This window comes from Homo sapiens, chromosome 11 (assembly GCF_000001405.40).
Source record: "Homo sapiens chromosome 11, GRCh38.p14 Primary Assembly".
In the NCBI taxonomy this organism is placed as follows: Eukaryota; Metazoa; Chordata; class Mammalia; order Primates; family Hominidae; genus Homo; species Homo sapiens.
The window spans coordinates 105,056,366-105,074,637 of NC_000011.10; the positions used below are offsets into that span (position 1 = coordinate 105,056,366).

Consider the following 18,272-nt stretch of genomic DNA (forward strand, 5'->3'; position numbering starts at 1 on the left):
AGGTTACTACTGTCATCACCCCCAGTCACTTAGTGCTTTAAGTATTTGTGCATTTATGGCTGGCACTGTGGCTCCAGCCTGTAATCTCAGTGCTTTGGGAGGTGAAGGCAGTGGATCTCATGAAGCCAGTATTTAGAGATCAATCTGGGCAACACAGTGAGACTATGTCTCTACAAGAATTAAAATGATCAGCCTGGCATGGTGGTGTGCATCTGTAGTCCTAGCTGCTTGAGAGGCTGAGGCTGCAGAATCTCTTGAGCCCATGTGTTCAAGACAGCAGTCAGCTATGATCACACCATGGCACTCCAGGCTGGGCAACAGAGCAAGACCCCATTAAAAATAGTGCATTTAATGAAAGCAATTGATTCTCTCCTTTTGTCCATTTCATGAACAGAGCACAGCATCTCTCCAGGTTTTTCTTTACGGTCTCAATAATTCTTCTTGAGGACAAAGCTTGAGAGTATTTGTAGATTCTGCTGATTCAGGTGGTCCAGCTTTGATTTGTGGAAGAGCTGTGGGATATCACACAATATAAGTGATGTCTTCTGCCTCTGTGACCCAGGTTATCACCTAAGAAAGTTGAGACAGAGAGAAAGAGAGAGAGAAATCCTAGGAAAAAGACTTCTTTGCCTGTAGGGATTATAGCTGTGCTTAACTTCCAGCTTAAGGAAATGTATTGTTGTTGAAGAAGAAAAGGGAATTCCCTGATAAAGAAAGCAGAAATCTCCCTCCATCCCTCCACACACAAAAAATGCAATCACAGATTCTGATCATTCTGCAAAAAAAATCTTGATGATTTAGGGTTACATTTGGCCTTCCTCTATTCAGAAAAACAGTTTGATTTTTCCAGTGGTTTTACTGTATGGTACTGATTCATCCATGTGGACTTTCTACTGTGTCTGGGCAAGAGTGTACTAAATAAATACCTGTTCAGAGTGCTATCTATTTGAAATACAATGTGAGTTCCACATGCAATATTAAATTTTGTAATATCACATTTACAAAAGGTATAATTAATTTCAATAATATATTTATTATAATTTATACAAAACATTACTCTATCAACATGTGCCACTAGCCACAAGTTAAGTACTTAATAGGTACATGTGGCTACAAAACTGGATGAGACAACATTCCATTTTGGAGTAATAGTTCCCTCCTAGTCCACACCACACACAGATACATATATACAGCAAACACTTAACAGAATATTGATTTCTGTACCATCCTGGTATTTTAAAAGCAAACTTTAAGTGAATGACCAACTTTTCTAGAAGAAACGGGTTTCAGATATCTTTTAACAAATTTTGAAATCAGCTATTCAAAGAAGAAATGTTGTCTAGTGACAATAGTACTGTGTCCAAGGTCAAAGGGACAAATATTTGTACGAGATTCTGACGTAAATGTGGACGTCTTGCCTCCAAAGTGCTGAACAACCAACACTAAGTTTTTTACCTTGTGTTTTATAATGTGAGGAAATAATATATCTCTTTTGGATAAGTTTGTAATAGTCATTCTGATCTATCCCCTTGTGAAATATAATATTCATCTCTTTTGACTGATATTGTGCAAGAAACTGGGAGATTCTTGAGCCTTCCTTCTGGAAAAGAAAAAAGAATTCATGCATACAAATTAGAAGAAAAGTTTACTAAGATATAATAACAAGGTTTCTTTTCATGAAAAGAATGGACAGGCATAGTATTTATGTTTGGTTACATGACCCAATCAAGACATAGGAACTATGAGTAAAGTACTATTATCCTGTCTACAATTTATATTGTTTTGTTATATTTCATGTATTTTTTCTATTTCAATCATTTGTTTCCATTCGTTTTTAATGATATTTTAGAATAAATATCTTGCTAAAGTGTATGATAAAAACCTGATCTCTGGGGATGCAACAAGTTTTAAGAGTATGTAAGGAAACCAAACCTTCTAAGCATATATTTCTTCATAGATTAAACAGTGACATATGTTCCTCCTTCTCATTTCAGAAAGTTCTGCCAATGTGAAGACATCCAGGGTCCTGATATATTCCAGGTCTGGGGGTATGTTTTCCTGTTTACAGGTTTGGAGAATTTCCTAAGTTAATAGTCATCTTTTAATGACCTTTATGCATCTAGATAGATAGATAGATAGATAGATAGAGAGATAGAGACATAGATATAGATGCATCTATATATGCATCTGTATATCTATCTATCTATCTATATATATATAAAGTGATTTTAGGTAAAATAAAAATTAGACAAAATTTCTCTCATATCCTATAGTAAAGTTAGCATGAAAATGGTTATTTTATTACAATATTATAAATATTATAGTGCAGATTGCTGCCCAAAGAGAGTTTCTATTAGCCTAGCAGTACAACAGAAAGAAATGTGGAAATCAGGAGTTTAGATAAGCATTTCAATTTGAGTCTTATCTGTTATGTAATGAAATAGGACTCTCTCAGGAATCTCCCCTGGAATCTCTTTACATTGAGACAAAAAGAGAGGGAGTGGTATAGGGTCAGACAAACAATTGCCATGGCATGTAGGGGTTTACATGGCTATGTCTCTGACTAAATCACAGTCTTGGAACTGTGATTTCTATATACTGCATAATATATGTATATTATGTGTGTATCTATATATTATATTATATATAATATTTTATATATATATATATGTTGGTTTGTTAAATGAAACAAACAAATAGCTAGGATTCTTCTTATCCTGAACTTCAGAATCCAATGCTCTGCTGGAAAACCTCAGAATTATAACCATATCCAAAGGCCTGGCCAAGGCCTAGACCTCTTCTAATAGCCTTGTTAACCTGCTTCCTGGTCTGCTGGGCTAGTGACCCTAAAACGTCCTGGGATCCATCACTCTGGAGAATCCAAATGCAGATAGAGTGCAGGGAGCCACTGGACCCCTGCTGCAGGTATCTGCAGCTACCTCCTTCCTGCCACAACCTCTGCTGATCAGAAAGGTTATTTCATTTTGGAATTTAGTGCTCATTATATATGAGAATTGTACGTGATAAATAATATATAATTATTGGTAAACTCTAGTAGTTCAGGGCTGCAGATTTCAGTGTAATTCTATGGAAAATTTTGTCTATCCCTGAAAAACATGGATCTGAGAATATTTAAACTCTAATAATACTCATAATATAATCTTACAGTCAAAAGTTTTAAAAAGTTATAAAATTTAAACATTTTATAGGAGTTCCCCAATCATATTTTTTTAATTCACAGAAATGAGTAAACACTGAAAAATTCCAATTTGTAGCATCCTAATAATAATTAGGAAAACTACTCTTTATTGCATGCATACACTTCATCTGTTTATTCATCACATATTAATTACGTATCTGCTATGTGCCAGGATCTCTAGTACTTACTCCTATTAATTATTGAAGAAACTAGTTACATTCTGGTGGCAGAAACTTAGTATATTTTAGCTCTTTTTACTTAAATGGAAAAGGGTTAAAAGTGGAACAGGTTTGTTCTGGAAAACAAAATGGTTAATTTCAGCTGTATTCATTTTGTGATGCCAGTGAAACACTCTAGTGGAATTGTTGAATATGCTGCTACAGCTAAATGAATCTGGAGCTCCAAGGAGAGAGTTCTGGATGAGGCCTAATATCTTGGAAGTTGTTGGTATGTGATGCCTGGCATTATATTGCCTCTAGCTTTACATAGTCTTATGAAAAAGGACTGGAATTGTCCCTGCTTTATATGTGGTAAGACTGATGATTAGTCAGCTACAGCGTTTAAGATACATGCAGGAAGACATATACTTTACTGACAGAATCTAGGTTTAGATTTGAGTATCTCTTACTACAAAGCATCTACTATTAATTATTTCTATGAACAGTCTGAACCTGAGGACTCAGCCTTTTAGCCAGTTGGAAACTGGATCCCACCCCACAAAAGGCAAGGTAGTCCCTTAAAGAACAATCACAGGTTTAATGAAAATGACAGATTTGTAAAGGAAGGATAGAGAGATCACAGAAGACACTGCATGGGCCTTGGAGTTGAATAGAGTCTAAAAAAATGGAGATATCCATTGTAAAATACCAATCTTACCTTTCATACTGGTGGACTTTTGGTACGTATTAAGTAGGGTCTCGATAGACTTTTGTCCAGCCACAGGGTTCTTTAGCACATTGTCTAGCAAGATGAGGGCTTTGTCTTCAATTTCGGCATAATATTTTTTCTTTTCCTTTCTCTTCAATATCAGAACTTTTTTTCTTCACAAGTTATTCAAATTGTCATGAAGAATACCATGGCCCCCACACCTCCTTCTGTTCATCCTTTCTTCTGATCTGTCAGTTTTTCTACCTCAGCTAATCTAAAATACATGTCCTGAATGAGTAAAATTTAACTAGTCTCCTTGCATTTTCCCGTAATAATTAACCAAATAGTTTACATTTCACTTTTTGTTTTCATTTCAATTGTTTTTTTAGATTCAGGGATACACACGCAGGTTTGTTAAAAAGGTATATTATGTGATGCTGAAGTTTGGGGTATGATTTAACCCATCACCTAGGTAGTGAGAGTAGCACCCAGTATATAGTTTTTCAGCTCTTGCCCTCCTCCTTCACTCCTTCCTCTAGTTGCTCCCTGTGTCTATTATTTCCATCTTTATGTCCATGAGTGCCTACTATTTAGCTATCACTTATAAGTCAGATCATGTGGTACTTAGTTTTCTGTTTCTGTATTAATTTGCTTAGGGTAATGGGCTCCAGTTGCATCCATATTGCTGGAAAGTATAATATTTGAATTTATATGGCAGTGTACTATTCCATGGTAGGTATGTACCAATTTTATTTTTATCCAATCCACTATTGATGGGCACCTGGGTTGATTCTACGATTTTGCTATGGTGGATAGTGCTGTTGACAAATATCTGAAAGCATGTGTCTTATTGATAGTACAGTACATTTTCCTTTGGGAATTTAGCCAATAATGGGATTACTTGGTCACATGATAGTTCTGTTTTTAGTTCTTCGGTAAATCTCCAAACTGCTTTTCACAAAGATGGAGGCATCACATTCCTGGACTTCAAGCTATACAAGTCTACAGTAACCCCACAGCAAGGTAATGGTACAAAAAAACAGACACATAGACCAATGGAACAGAATAGAGAACGCCAAAATAATACCACACACCTGTAACCAACTGATATTTAACAAAGTCAACAACAACAAAAAAGAAATAACGAAAGGATTTTTTATTCAATAAATGTATTTCTTGTTTAAACTGTGCTGAGAAATCATGACGGTGTCTTCTCCTCCACATCTCCTGGTCATCCTACCTTTTGATTGGAGATCATTCGGAAGGAATCCCCTTACTCCCGGGAAAGCTTTCCTTCAACTGCCTAAGATTGCATTAACAGTTAATTTTTACGGAAGGTGACAATTTACTTCTGCTTTTTGATACTCGCTGAGCAAAGACTGATCACAGATATAGTCTCAGGTTGTAGTAGAATATGCATGATAGTACAGAAAAGATATGCCCAGACAGTTAATAAAAGGCCAGAAATAAGGGGGTCTGTAATGTGTTCAACTATGAAGATTTTTAAAAGGTCAGATATTCACTTTGATTTATAGGTTAAAGATTAGAAAAGGCTCATATTTGCAGGAGAAATGGTAGTTCTTCGAATCCTCCCTAAATCTTAACATCCCTGAGTGAATGATTTCACCCCAAACTTGTTTTATCTGCACCATGCAGGGACTTCACTGCGCACACCATGGATCCTAGAGTTTCTTCAGGGTGTCATGCACTGTCTGCCAAGCGCTTCATTTTTGATGGCTGTCTTACCTTTGCAAGAAGTCTGTCAACTACTAAGGGTCTAGAGTTAATTCAAAATTTACTTTCTCTCTCTTAAATACCTTAACAAAGAGTAGAAATATGCAGGTTCTACTCATGGATTTGTCAGTAGTGAACTGTGGGATTTGGGAAAAGTCTCTTATCACACTGCACTGTCACTGTCATAACTATCTGTCTTCTCCCCATCTCTCCTGCTGAGCTCCAAATTTTTTGAAGTCAGGTACCTGTGGTAATTTGTATCTGCATCCCTAAAGCAGAAACCCCAGCAAATGGTTTTTCGAATGAAAAAATGGTGCTAATACGCAGTTCAGGTCTTATGAATTAAGCCTAACATTCTAAATTCAATACTTCCTCTGATTTCCAACCTCTGTTTCTCCACTGTGGAAAGAAACTGAGGACACGTTTTTATTTTTATATCAAATTTATTAAAATATTCAAAAAAGTCTATTATTAAACAGATATAATTCCAAAAACCATTATAGAATGAAGGAAGCCTTGGTTATCTATGGGGGGGATAAAAAAAACATAAAAGAGAATTTTGCTAAAAGAAATGTAAGTAATAAAGTTATACCACCAATGAGAACACACACAATCTTAAAAGGAAAGACTGCATGCTATTTTAAAATGTTACCCTGCTGAGGTGAAGGGGAGAAATATCTAAAAGTGAGGGTTCATAGTCTTACGGCCACTTCTAGGTTCCTATCAGCCGACACTCAGAAAGAGTCTAAAAGAAAAACTTTGGAAGAAGAGCAGCGTGCTCTGCAGTGACCAGAAGAAAGGCATTACTTCAGTATTTTCTGTATATTATACTATGGATTGATTATCCCTTATCCAAAACGCATGCTACCAGAAATATTTTGAATTTCAGATATTTTTGTATATTGGAATATCTGCATTATATTTACTGGTTTAGCATCCTTATTCCAAAATCCTAAAATTTGAAATGCTTCTATAAGCATTTCCTTTGAATATCATGTGGGTTCTCACACAGTTTTGGATTTCAGATCATTTCAAAATTTAAATTTTTGGATTAAAAATTCTAGGCCTGTAGACCTAGAGTCCTGGACTAAAATGGACTTTCAGTACGCTTTCCTTAACCTTCCCACACTCCCAACCACACACACATACCTGCCCTCAGATATTCATACAGCTTCCTTATTTTAATGTCCTGAAAAGAGGTGGAAACGTCTTGTCAAAGTCATCCTTTCAGTGCTGGGCATCTGTGCTTTATCATCTGGCTGCTCAAATGAAAGTCGAACCCGAAAGAGAAAGGAAAGTCTGGAGACCGGTTTTTCTGAAAAGTTTGTTGACTCATGCCAAAAAGACTACAACAAATATAGCAAAATAAGTGACAAAAACAAAAAGTACTTGTGTCTGCAACAAGTATAGCCATGTGCTTATCTAAGCATTGAATGACCCTCCTTGGGGCTTTTTAAATCTGCGGTTGGCTCTAATAGCCATGAGGGAGACACAGGCGAATTAGAGTCCGCTCATTTGTCTCTGCAGGTCAGGGGAAGGGTGAAAATAAATGATTGTTTTATTGAGCCTGTGGGTCTTAATAGATTGGATTTGGCTCCCAGGCTTGTTCACTCTCCAAAGAATTTCAAAACTCTTTTGGAAAGAAGGGTATTATTGGAGGATAAACATGTCTGGATCTGCTTTCTATGCTTCCAATTGCAATAGCCAAGCATTCAGGGAAGTAGAGTGAAAATAGCATCCACCAGAGCCCTACCTTGCGGAAAATTTCCTCCACATCACAGGAACAGGCATATTCTTGCAGATGTTCAATGAGTCTCATAATAAAAACAGAGCCCTTTGTGGGATGTCTCCAAGAAACATTATCAGTTGATAAAGCACATTTCACATCTCAAGACTGGCTCTTGCCTGAAGAAAGAGAAGAAACTCTAGTATTTCTGCTCCAGCTGAGGCATGTTTTGGAATTCATCTATTTTCCCTACACTTCATTGTAATTTTAGTGAATCCATTTGAAGTTCAGTGAGTGTATTTTTACTTATACTCTAACCGGTGCTGTATATGTTGCAGGCATTAAAATGACATAGTCCCTGAGTTCACACAGTCGTAAATTTAGTAGAGAGTTAGGAAAAGGCAGAATGGGTTAAAGGGAAGGAATTGGGTTTTGGAAAATAGCTATATACAGAGCTAAATAGAGAACTGTGAATGTCATGTGGAAGGCTGGGACCAAAAGATATTAAAGAACAGTTCTGTCTAATGTTAAAGTCTACTATATGTACTCAGACTGGAAATGTATGTTTTTGGTGTGTGTCTTTTCATTGTTTTTGATCATTGAAAAAATATAGAGTTCTACATCAGGGCATGTTCAAGACAATATAGAACCAAACTTCTTCTGAAAGAAGATATCTCATTGTACAAAATATTATAGAAAATTTAACTATTTGAGCAGGGGCTGGGCGTTTGGGCCAGAGGTGACCAAGAGAATGCAAGTCCTCTCAGGAAACTGCCATACAAGGTGGATGAAAGCATTCAAGTGATCTTTATTTAAACCTTGCTAAGAAAAGTAACTGGATTAAGTTCTACGATAAAAACATTTTAAATAACACCAGTCCTTTAACGTGTACTTCTTTCTGTGTCATGTGCAATAATTCACATATATTAATTTATTTAATCCATAGAAAAATGATATTTATATTCCTATATTTTAGTGAGCAATTCAAGGAAAGCCCAGGGATAAAAAAGTGGAGCTAGTTTACAAAGTACTAAATGACTAGATGAGTCAATAATAGCAATATTCTTACTGCAAAGCATACCTTTAGAATAATGCATATATATTCTGCTTTATATACTTCATGCTTCTAGGTAAAACCCACTTTAATTTAGGGGCCCAAAGTTCCTCGCTTGCTATTCTACTTTGCTGAACACTGCTCCTACTCGTCTCCTGTGAATACTTGATGTCGGGGCCTATTGGTCCATTGAATGATCTCAACATGGAGGACCTTTCCTACGCAGAGTCAGATTCTTATGTGCTACAGCGCGGATCGTCTTCCATTTAATTCTCTGTTATCTCTCACAGTTCTAAAATATTTTGCAACAGAGAGGAGTTCATTAATTACCAACTCAATGAAAAGATGTGCTTACTTGCTCTCTGTGGATAAAGAGAATTGTGTGTATGACTTGGAACAAAGCTTTAGTTTGTGTTCAAAAATCTTATCTAAAGTTCTGTACACTTATCTACCCTCTAGTGGGTGGTTGTGAGTTTTTCTATTGATAACACCCACAAAGATATTCTGTGTACAAGAAACCTGTTACCTGATGCGGAAGAGCAGAAAGCAATAAAATCCTTCTCTATGTGGGCTTTCTTAATAGCATCATCCTCAAAATCTCCCAGAGTTGGTAAAGATATATTTTCAGAGACTCATAATGAATCTTTTACCAACACCACACCATGGTTCTCTGGAAAGACAAAATTTGGTTTGTTACTACTACCAGTGGCTGAGAGGACAACGTTCTCCTCTTAGCCTCTGTTCAATCATATTTATCAATATATTTGCTGTATCATTAATTCACGTACACATGCACACATTCATTCAAGTAACAATCTTTTCAACAATTCTTATTTCTTCTAACACTCAAACAAATTTTAAAAACAACCAAACATCAAAGTCTCAGGATTGAAAATGAAACAAATATCTACCAACCAGTCATACAATTCACAGAAGCCACATGTTGAGTGATGACACTACGTTTTCTTTGACATTAATAAACAGACATAAACTGAAAAACCCTGGATCCATACAGATGAGGACAGCATTAGAATGTCTGGTGTTCTCAAGGACATCAGCACTCACCACCACAGCAGGCCTCGAAGATGATCACCTTGGGTTTGTCCTTCAAACTTGGGCAGTTCTTGCTATTCAACATTTTAAATATTTCATTGAGTTGTAATATATCACGGACTTGTTCAGAGTATTTCTTCCCACAAATGCCTTCCCGAACACCATGAGACAAGAACACCGGGAAGGTGCTGTCAGAGGTCTTGTGCTCTGGGCGGTGAGCAAATGCCTCCAGCTCTGTAGTCATTTCCTGAAAGAGACCATACCACTGATTTTGGACTATGTAATTAACTCTCATGGAACCTTGGAAAGCCAATAAATAAATACTTAAGGATTTCTTAAGGAATTCCATGACAAACAATGGAGTGCCAAAAAAACTTTAAGTCTTAATTTCGAGAAAGGTGAAGGAAGGGGTTTTAGGAAGTCATTCAGAGTTACCTTGTAGAGAGAACGTGGCATTACTGAGTTAAACAAACAAACAAAAGAAAACGAAATGAAAAACAAAAAACTAAACAAAAAAAAAGCACTTCACAATTAAGTTAAACCAGGCTTATGCTGAATGACTCTGATGTTTCAAGGGAACTTGTAGCATCCAGCACCCTCCCATGGCAAGTTTATATTTTATATTATCAAAAGATTACATTTCTTGGTCCTACAACCAAGCTTTCTAATATTATTTAGTTATAGGAAGGGCGTGACCATTCTCTCTAAGGTGTAATAGACCTTACCCAAGCAGTGAGATTTCTTTTCACGTCCACCTTGTACCCCAGATTTTGCAGCAGCATCGTCATGCCTATGATGTCAACCTCAGCTCCCGTTATTTTAGAAAGACTATCAAACTCTTCGTTGCAGATAATGAGCAAGACGTGTGCGGCTTGACTTGCCCATTATTGGATAAATGTGTAGGAAATGCAGTTTGGATGAGCAGTAATTTATTCTCTGTAATTTAATATTCCCCTGGCAAATTTATGACTGTTTACCCTTTCTTAATTCTATCAAGATACCAAATCCCATGGACTATACATTGAAAATGGCTAATGGAATTGAGTGCTACTTCGAGAGTAGGCATAGAAATTGCAAATGCCCAGATGGCAGGTGAACTACTGACTTCATTGCTGTTGATAGGTAGGATTTTGAAAAATGCACAAGCTTTGAAGCAAGAATGACTGAATTCTAAAACTGACTGCTCCAATTTCTGATTGTTTTTCTTTTTGCAAAATATTTAACAATCCCATGTCTCAGCTTCTTGATCTCTAAAATGTTTTTTTAAGGTTAAAAATTATGTATTATCATAGAATGCTTAGAACACCGGCCACTGTTAGTGAACATTCAATAGCTGTCATTGTTGATGTTATTTATCCAGGAATTGGGTGCAGTTAGGAACTGTTTCTATAAACCTGGGATTCTAGGATACAGGAATTTTTTTTTTTATGTAAGGGAAGCAGAAGTAAGATTCTCCATTGAGAACAGCTCTAAGAAAAAGTCACTGCATTTTAGAATCACCACAAGTATATCTTTCACCCCACTCTATCCTTATGTTCTGAGCATGGCACCTCTGTCAACTTTTCTTTCCATATCCTTTTAGCTTAGTCTAGGGAGCAAAGCTTAACGCTTCCTCCTGAGCCTGTGGATGTAGGCATAGCAGGGTTGTCCCACACTGGCACTGCCTGAGGAGTCGCAAGAGTCAAAGAATATCATGAACATTGGCATCCCTCTTTGTTCTGCTTTGTGTTTCTTACAGCCTCACCTAAGGATGAAGCCACGAAAGTGGAAATACATTCTTAGGAAGACAATCCTGATCTCTCACCGCTGAGTAATTTCACTGCTAATGGAGTACATTTCCAGCCAGAGAATTCCAGGTGTGCAATACAGGGATCTCCTTTCATATTTCAGGATCAGTATTTTCACAAATATTGCAGATAAAAATGTAGAAAGGAAGATTTTCAAGGCCATGCATGATAAAATGCTCAGAAAACAATCAAATGTGTAAGATCAAATCGTTAGAATATAAATTTGTTTCAAAAGATTTGAACCATAGAATAAAATTTAATGGGAGGCAGTCTTAATTAAAGCTACTAAAAATTTCTGAGAGATATGCTTATGTTTGTATTTATTTATTAATGGAAATGGTAGTAAGCACTAGGAATATTTTGTTAATGAACCCTTGTCCTGTTCTTCAGGATCTCTTCCTACTATGTACATGTATGGAAGGAGGAGATTATTAATTATATGAACTAGAATGAATATAAAATAGTATGATAAATGCTAACATCAAAGAGCACACTAGATGGATTTATAGCACTTAACATTGACTGCACAGACCTATGAGGAAATGTTTTCACAGAGTTTATATGAGAAAATTCTTGAAACTTTTACTTCATCACAGGTTCAACACCATCTGACAATGTGATCACTTGTTAGAGAAGTTAATGTAATCTTTGTTTCAAGATAGAAATGAGTTTTCTAGATTTGTGGAGTATCTTTTAGAAACTATTAAGTCAAGAAAATAATATTTAATTTTGAAAACAAGGTTGAGAAACTGTTATACAATCAGTTAGACAAATAAAGGCAGCATGAAGTGTGGTGACATGGGGAAGAAATAATTAGAATGGATATATTGGAGTAAACTATAAAATAATAATTTGATAGAATAAATGTTTGGTTTCTTGAGAAAGAAGAATGAAAACAATATAAAAAAACAAAATAGAAATATATGGGTTATTTCTGAGGTATTTTTTCTTAGTGAAAATACAGTATTTCATTATATAGTGAATATCCCATGCTCTAAAATATTTAAGGATACATACATGAATTAATCAACCTTAATAAATTCAATAGAGTAATGCCTGACCTTGATTAAAAAAATGTGCATTTCTAGCCTCTAAATTGTTTCTAAATAGAAGAGGGCCCTTGATGAATAGGGGTTTTTTAATGAAATAGAAGTAGAAATGCAGACACAGTTCCAAATTTGGGAGAAGAATGCATAAAACTTGGCCATGGCTTGAATATTGGAGATGCGTGAAAGGAAAGGGGCCAAGATGAGTTTCAAGTGCTTGGTTTGAACAACTAGTGATGGTGACACCAACAACCGAGTTACACAAAACTGGAAGAGAAGCAAGGTGTGGAAGAATGGCATGTTCAGCTCTGATATTGTTTAGATAAAGGTGTCTCTGGAAGATGTGAGGGACTATTTCAGTAGGCTTAAATGATGAAGTTTGGTACTTATTTGGGTGATCAGGGTTTGAGACACAGATTCCGAATTTTTAATATAAACATAGATAGTGAAGCTGTTTTGACAGTTGCTACAAAAGCAGAATAGATTACAAAAAGAAAATTATATGATCACTCTGTGGGAATTCTCCATAGCCCCTTTAACTGTGGTTCATTCTACAACATTAATGTCAAAGAAAACAGGGTTCAAAGAATGCTCTTCCTTTAAAAACAGCATTACCTAGGAGGAATTACTACTTGAGAGTCTTGTGTAGTAAGGTGACTTCCAGATGATGGAGCAGAAAAAGAAGAAGGACATTGAAATAGTCACTTATCATCTCTGGAAAACTTTACCCTGATGCCTACAACACTCCCCACTAAAGATTCCTCCCACAACCCTGACTGAACGACATTAAATAACGCTCAAGATGGTCTTTAATTTAGAGAGTGGTGGGGGGTATAAAATGAAAGAGACGTTTTCAGAAAAATATGATATTTATTACACATAGATGAAAACATAAACTTATCCCATGTCTGCTTAGACAGGCATAAGCTTCCTCTAACCCTTAGAAAAATAAAATTTTTTTTTTTTTTTTTAAAAAGCCTTTTACTTTGAAAGAACATCTGCCTCTGAAGTGGCATTGGAAAGTACCACAGAGACCAGTAACTAGGAGTCCACCAGAACTCTCATCCTCACCATGGGGTAGGTCCAAGGGATCACAGGAATGGGCCAACTCATTTCCTGTGCACTGTATCAGGTCACAAGGTGGCCACAAATGGAGGCAGTCCAGGGCTCACAGCATGATCCACAGCCTGATAACAGGCAAGTGGGTGATCTTACTCAAAAGAAAATGCAAGGAGGCAACGGGAGGAAAAAGCCAACTTGAAATCCTTACTTTTCTATAATCATTCAGTGTATTCTCTGAGTATATCGCCACTTTTGAAATATAATTTATTCTTCTTGGAGGGCAAAATTTTGGAGAGAAGTACAAAATGTAGTTAATTACAGACTTAAAACTTCATGTCAGACAACTACATAAGTGCCTGGGTACAGCCTGGACTCAAAAATACTAAATCAATCAATAAATATTGTGCCTCACCAGGAACAGTGGAACATATAGTGTGAAGATTTTTAGATAGTTCTCAAGAGCTTCAGGAAATTAGCTACCATGTACTCAGAACAGGAAATGAGCTTTAATCAGAAGAGGGCCACTGAGGATGAAGGAACAGAAACGAAGGAGAGTCAAGGGATATGCAATAGGGCCCCTGCTACAGAAATATTGCCCAAAGCCAGAGAGAAGGAAGTTTTCTGCAACTTAACATGGCTAGTAAAGACATCACATGGTAGTCACAATGACAGGCCCTAGGTGAACTTGAGTGTGAGTCACTGACCCTTACCTGCTGAGAGTCCCAGCGTCCCTGCCAGGTACCTGTCTTCTTCACAAATGTATGTGATGCAAATTTCACATGCCCGTGCCCCTTTCCGAATAACAGAGTCAAGCAAATCTCGGGCCTTATCGATAACTGTAACATTTTCACATTTTACTATCTCTGTGTCTTCCTGGCTCAGCACATTTGTCTCCAATAATTCATCCAGTAAGCCATTTATTGTACCTTCACCCAATGAATTGATAAGCAGCCGTCTCTTCTTCAGGAGGATCATGTCTGTTTGGAGCACAAGGATGTCTCACATCATGAACACAGCCTCATATTCTTCTCATGTCATCAACAGAAAGTGACCTCATTTAGATTTCATCAGTGAAATGTCCCCCTCCTCACAGTTGGGTTATCCCTCCTCTTACTTTATCGCTGTCCTTCTTGTTTCCCTCAGTAGTCTCCATACATGTGCATGGAGTGGACTGAAGACTGAGTTTACCATTTCCACATCAGTCCCTGGAAAGCAGAGATCATCCTCTTATGTCCCATGTTTATTTAACTCAGAATAATAAAGTAATGAAGCAGAAATAGCCCATTTCATTTAGGAACCACTGCTGCTAGTACTCCTCCTGTGCCAATTCTGTAGCCTCTGCCACACTTACAAGATGTAAGAGTTTAAATAAGATTGCAAAATGACAGCAGGCTGCTCCTAAAGCCTCAGTTCCTTTCTGGGCTTGCCTTTCCTTTCTAAAGACTGAAAGAGTCAACTAGTTTCTTCTCTCCTCCCTCTCCTCCCTCTCCCTCACTTCTGCTCAAGTAAACTTCCACAGATACTAATTATAGCTTCCAAAAGAGCCAGCGCCTTCCACAACTCTTTCCTCCCAGGGACCTGTTTTTGGGACAGTAAAAGACTCACCGGCCATGCTTTTCTCTCCTCCCTTCTTGTGTGAGCTGAAACTGAAAGCATGCTTCACCTTTCTTTTCACCTTCCTTTTATACCTTTTTGGCAGGGCGTGTACACTTATTGGGAAACAACCACTGCACATGCATACGCATGTCTTTTTTTTTATTTTTTCATATTTTTAATAGAGTGAGAATCACATTCCTGAACTGTAGACTGCAACAGAGAGTGTATCTTTGGGAAATTTTCTTCACCAGCTTTTGGAACAAGTCAGGGTAAGAGGGGAATGCGGCTTGGAGAATAAGACAAGAATGACAAAGTATGTGTACAATTAAACTCACACAGTGAAGAGTTTCTCATTCATTAGAAAACTTGATGGAGAAAAGTAACACAACCTTTAGAGAATTTGAACCCCTACTCTCCTGGGCCCATTTCACAGTCTAGGGAAAGTCATGGGAAATGTATGTCCCTGTGAAGCAATTTTACTTCAAGAAATGAACACATTTTTCACAAAAATTAAAGCTTTTCCTATTTAATGTCCTTCCTTTTCAGATTTTTTTTTCTGATACAGAATTTTATTCTGTCACACAGGCTGGAGTGCAGTGGCACTAACAGGGCTCACAGCAGCCTCCACCTCCCTAGGCTCAGATGACCCTCTCAGCTCTGCCTCCCAAGTAGCTGGGAACACAAGCACATGCTACCACGGCTGGATAATATTTTTATGTTTGTAAAGACAAGGTCTCCCTATGTTTCCTAGGCTGTTTTTGATATTCTGCACTCAAGCAATTCACCCACGTTGGCCTCCCAAACTGCTGGGATTACAGCTGTGAGCCACCCACCCATCCTGGATGGCTTTCTTTTGAGGAACATTACCTCATAGAGGCCTGGAGCACAGGCTCTGGACTCAGAATGTTGAACTTAGCATCTTAAACTTCATTTCTTGGGCAAGAAATTGAACTTCCCTATGCATTGGTTCCTCTGCCTGTGAAATAATTTTAATAATAGTACATACCTACACATTGAGCATTAAGTGAGACAAAATGTCCAAAATGCATGCAACATTGCCTGGCAAATGGTAAGCAGATAATGAGTGATATTACTATAATTAATACAAATATTTTACATTAGAAAAATCAAGGATAATTATTTGCAGATTATCCAGCTAAGTTTATCTTTCGTTAGACTCTTCAAGCAGTGCATCTAGTCATTCACTCAACAAATATATATGGACGATATGGTTCTAGGAGCCAGGGGTTCAGTCAAAACATATCATGGTCATTTCCCCCTTGCTCTCACATACAAGAGGGGAAGACAAACATGAAGCCTGGTATGTAGTATGTAACTGGAATATTCAGAATGTGCAAATATGGCAAGTGATGAGAAGAATAAGAAATTAATTGGAGAAATGGGAGACAAAATGTTTTAGGACTCATGAAAACTGTAGAATGAGAAGCCAGAGAAGGCCAGAAGAGGTCTCTGTCTTTGCAAGCACATGTTCAATTGATAATTCCAGAAATAAACTCAATGAGGCCAATTTATTTTATGAACCTCTTTGATGCAAGTTGGACTAATAAAAAAAATGCAGACAGTACTTTACATTTATCAATTTCTTTAACAAAAACTTTCTTGTGTCATTACCTTGTTATCTTTGGAGAATAAGGACCAGGAGTCACAAAAACATCCACCTTTTGACATGTGGGCCACCAATGTTACTTCCTGTGCTCTAAGCGATGAGTTAAACGTGTTTAGGTTAGACTAGAATGCACTGTGTAGAAGGAAAATGATGTGGCTTTTAACCCAAGGGGCTTTCTCATGATTTTTTTTTTATCTTTACTTTGTCAATGACCTAGTCAGATTGCAGCAAAATCTTGAGCTCCTTGACAGTGGGAGGATTTGGAGCATGGAAGAAAGCAGAAATTACCTGTGCATCACTTCTCTTCCATTCATTTACTTTTACATTTATGTACAGATTCTTTTATTTTCTCTATTAACTTAAGGATTTCACACATAGTTTTCGCCCCCAGGCAGAGCCATGAATCAGTGAGTTAAAGTATGACAAAATGGCATCCAGGACACAGAAGCCATGACTAGACCATGTATCTGGGGATGTAGAACCATGAGCCATGAGTCTTTTGTCCTGGGAAGCTAAACATTGAGCCACTAGATTGCAAGGTCTCACTGTTTCCTCAAAAATGAAGATGTCATAAACTGGCAACAATTCAATATCCAATTCAGGAGCATAAGTAAACAATTTGTGCTATACACATACACTGAAATACTATTCAGTCACAAAAGAAAAAAATACTAATTTATGCAGTAACATGGATGACAACATTATGATTTCATGATGAGTGAAAGAAGCCATATACAAAGGAACATATATCCTGTGATTCCAATTAAATAAGGTTTATATTAGAAATAACTAATGTATAGTGGTAAAAATTTAATCACTACTTATCTTAGGAGGAAGTGGCAGGAAATTGAGTACAATGGGCATGAAAAACTTTCTGGGGTGAGAAAATCAGGCAAAGTTTTATCTTTACTTTGGCAATGACTTAATCCATTTGCAGCACAATCTTGTGCTCCTTGCCACTGGGAGGATTTGTAGCATGAAAGAAAGCAGAAATTGCCTGTAAATTACTTCTCTTCCAATCATTTGCTTTTAAATTTATTTACTGATTAATTTATTTTTTCTGCTAACTTTCACGTGAAGGTTTCTTCCCCAGATAGAGCCAGGAACCACTGAGTTGAAGCATGCCAAAGCGGCATCCAGGACACAGAAATCATGACTAGACCATATATCTGGGGATGTAGAACCATAAGCCTTGAGTCTCATGTCCTGGGAAGCTAAACATTGAGCAACTAGATTGCAAGGGCCCACTGTTCCTCAAAAATGGAGATGTCAAAAACTGGAAACAACTCAATAACCAATTCAGGAGCATAAGTAAATAATTTGTGCTATATACATACACTGAAATGCTGTTCAGTCATAAAAGGGAAATATTACTAAGATATGTAATAATATGAATGAAAAAACTGCTGCATTCATTATGAGTGAATGAAGCCATATAGGAGGGAACACATACCCTGGGATTCCAATTATATAAAGTTCTAAATTAGAAAAAAACTAACGTATATTGATAGAAATTCAATC

The 18,272-nt window shown here is 37.0% G+C and overlaps 1 long non-coding RNA gene and 1 pseudogene across 2 annotated transcripts in view; one reads left to right on the plus strand and one right to left on the minus strand.

Annotated features, from left to right (window-relative positions):
* Positions 1 to 18,272, plus strand: part of LOC107984381 (uncharacterized) — a 28,155-nt gene that overhangs the window by 8,366 nt on the left and 1,517 nt on the right. The window contains exon 2 of the long non-coding RNA XR_001748352.2: positions 1,995 to 2,048. This is a non-coding gene — a long non-coding RNA (uncharacterized LOC107984381). The remainder of the gene's footprint in view (positions 1 to 1,994; positions 2,049 to 18,272) is intronic.
* On the minus strand, positions 6,237 to 15,165 carry CASP1P2 (caspase 1 pseudogene 2; annotated as a pseudogene). Its single transcript, NR_131905.1, has 5 exons — positions 15,134 to 15,165; positions 14,239 to 14,553; positions 9,646 to 9,880; positions 9,107 to 9,250; positions 6,237 to 7,705 (listed from the first exon to the last, which is right to left on the minus strand). The product of NR_131905.1 is annotated as a caspase 1 pseudogene 2 (transcript).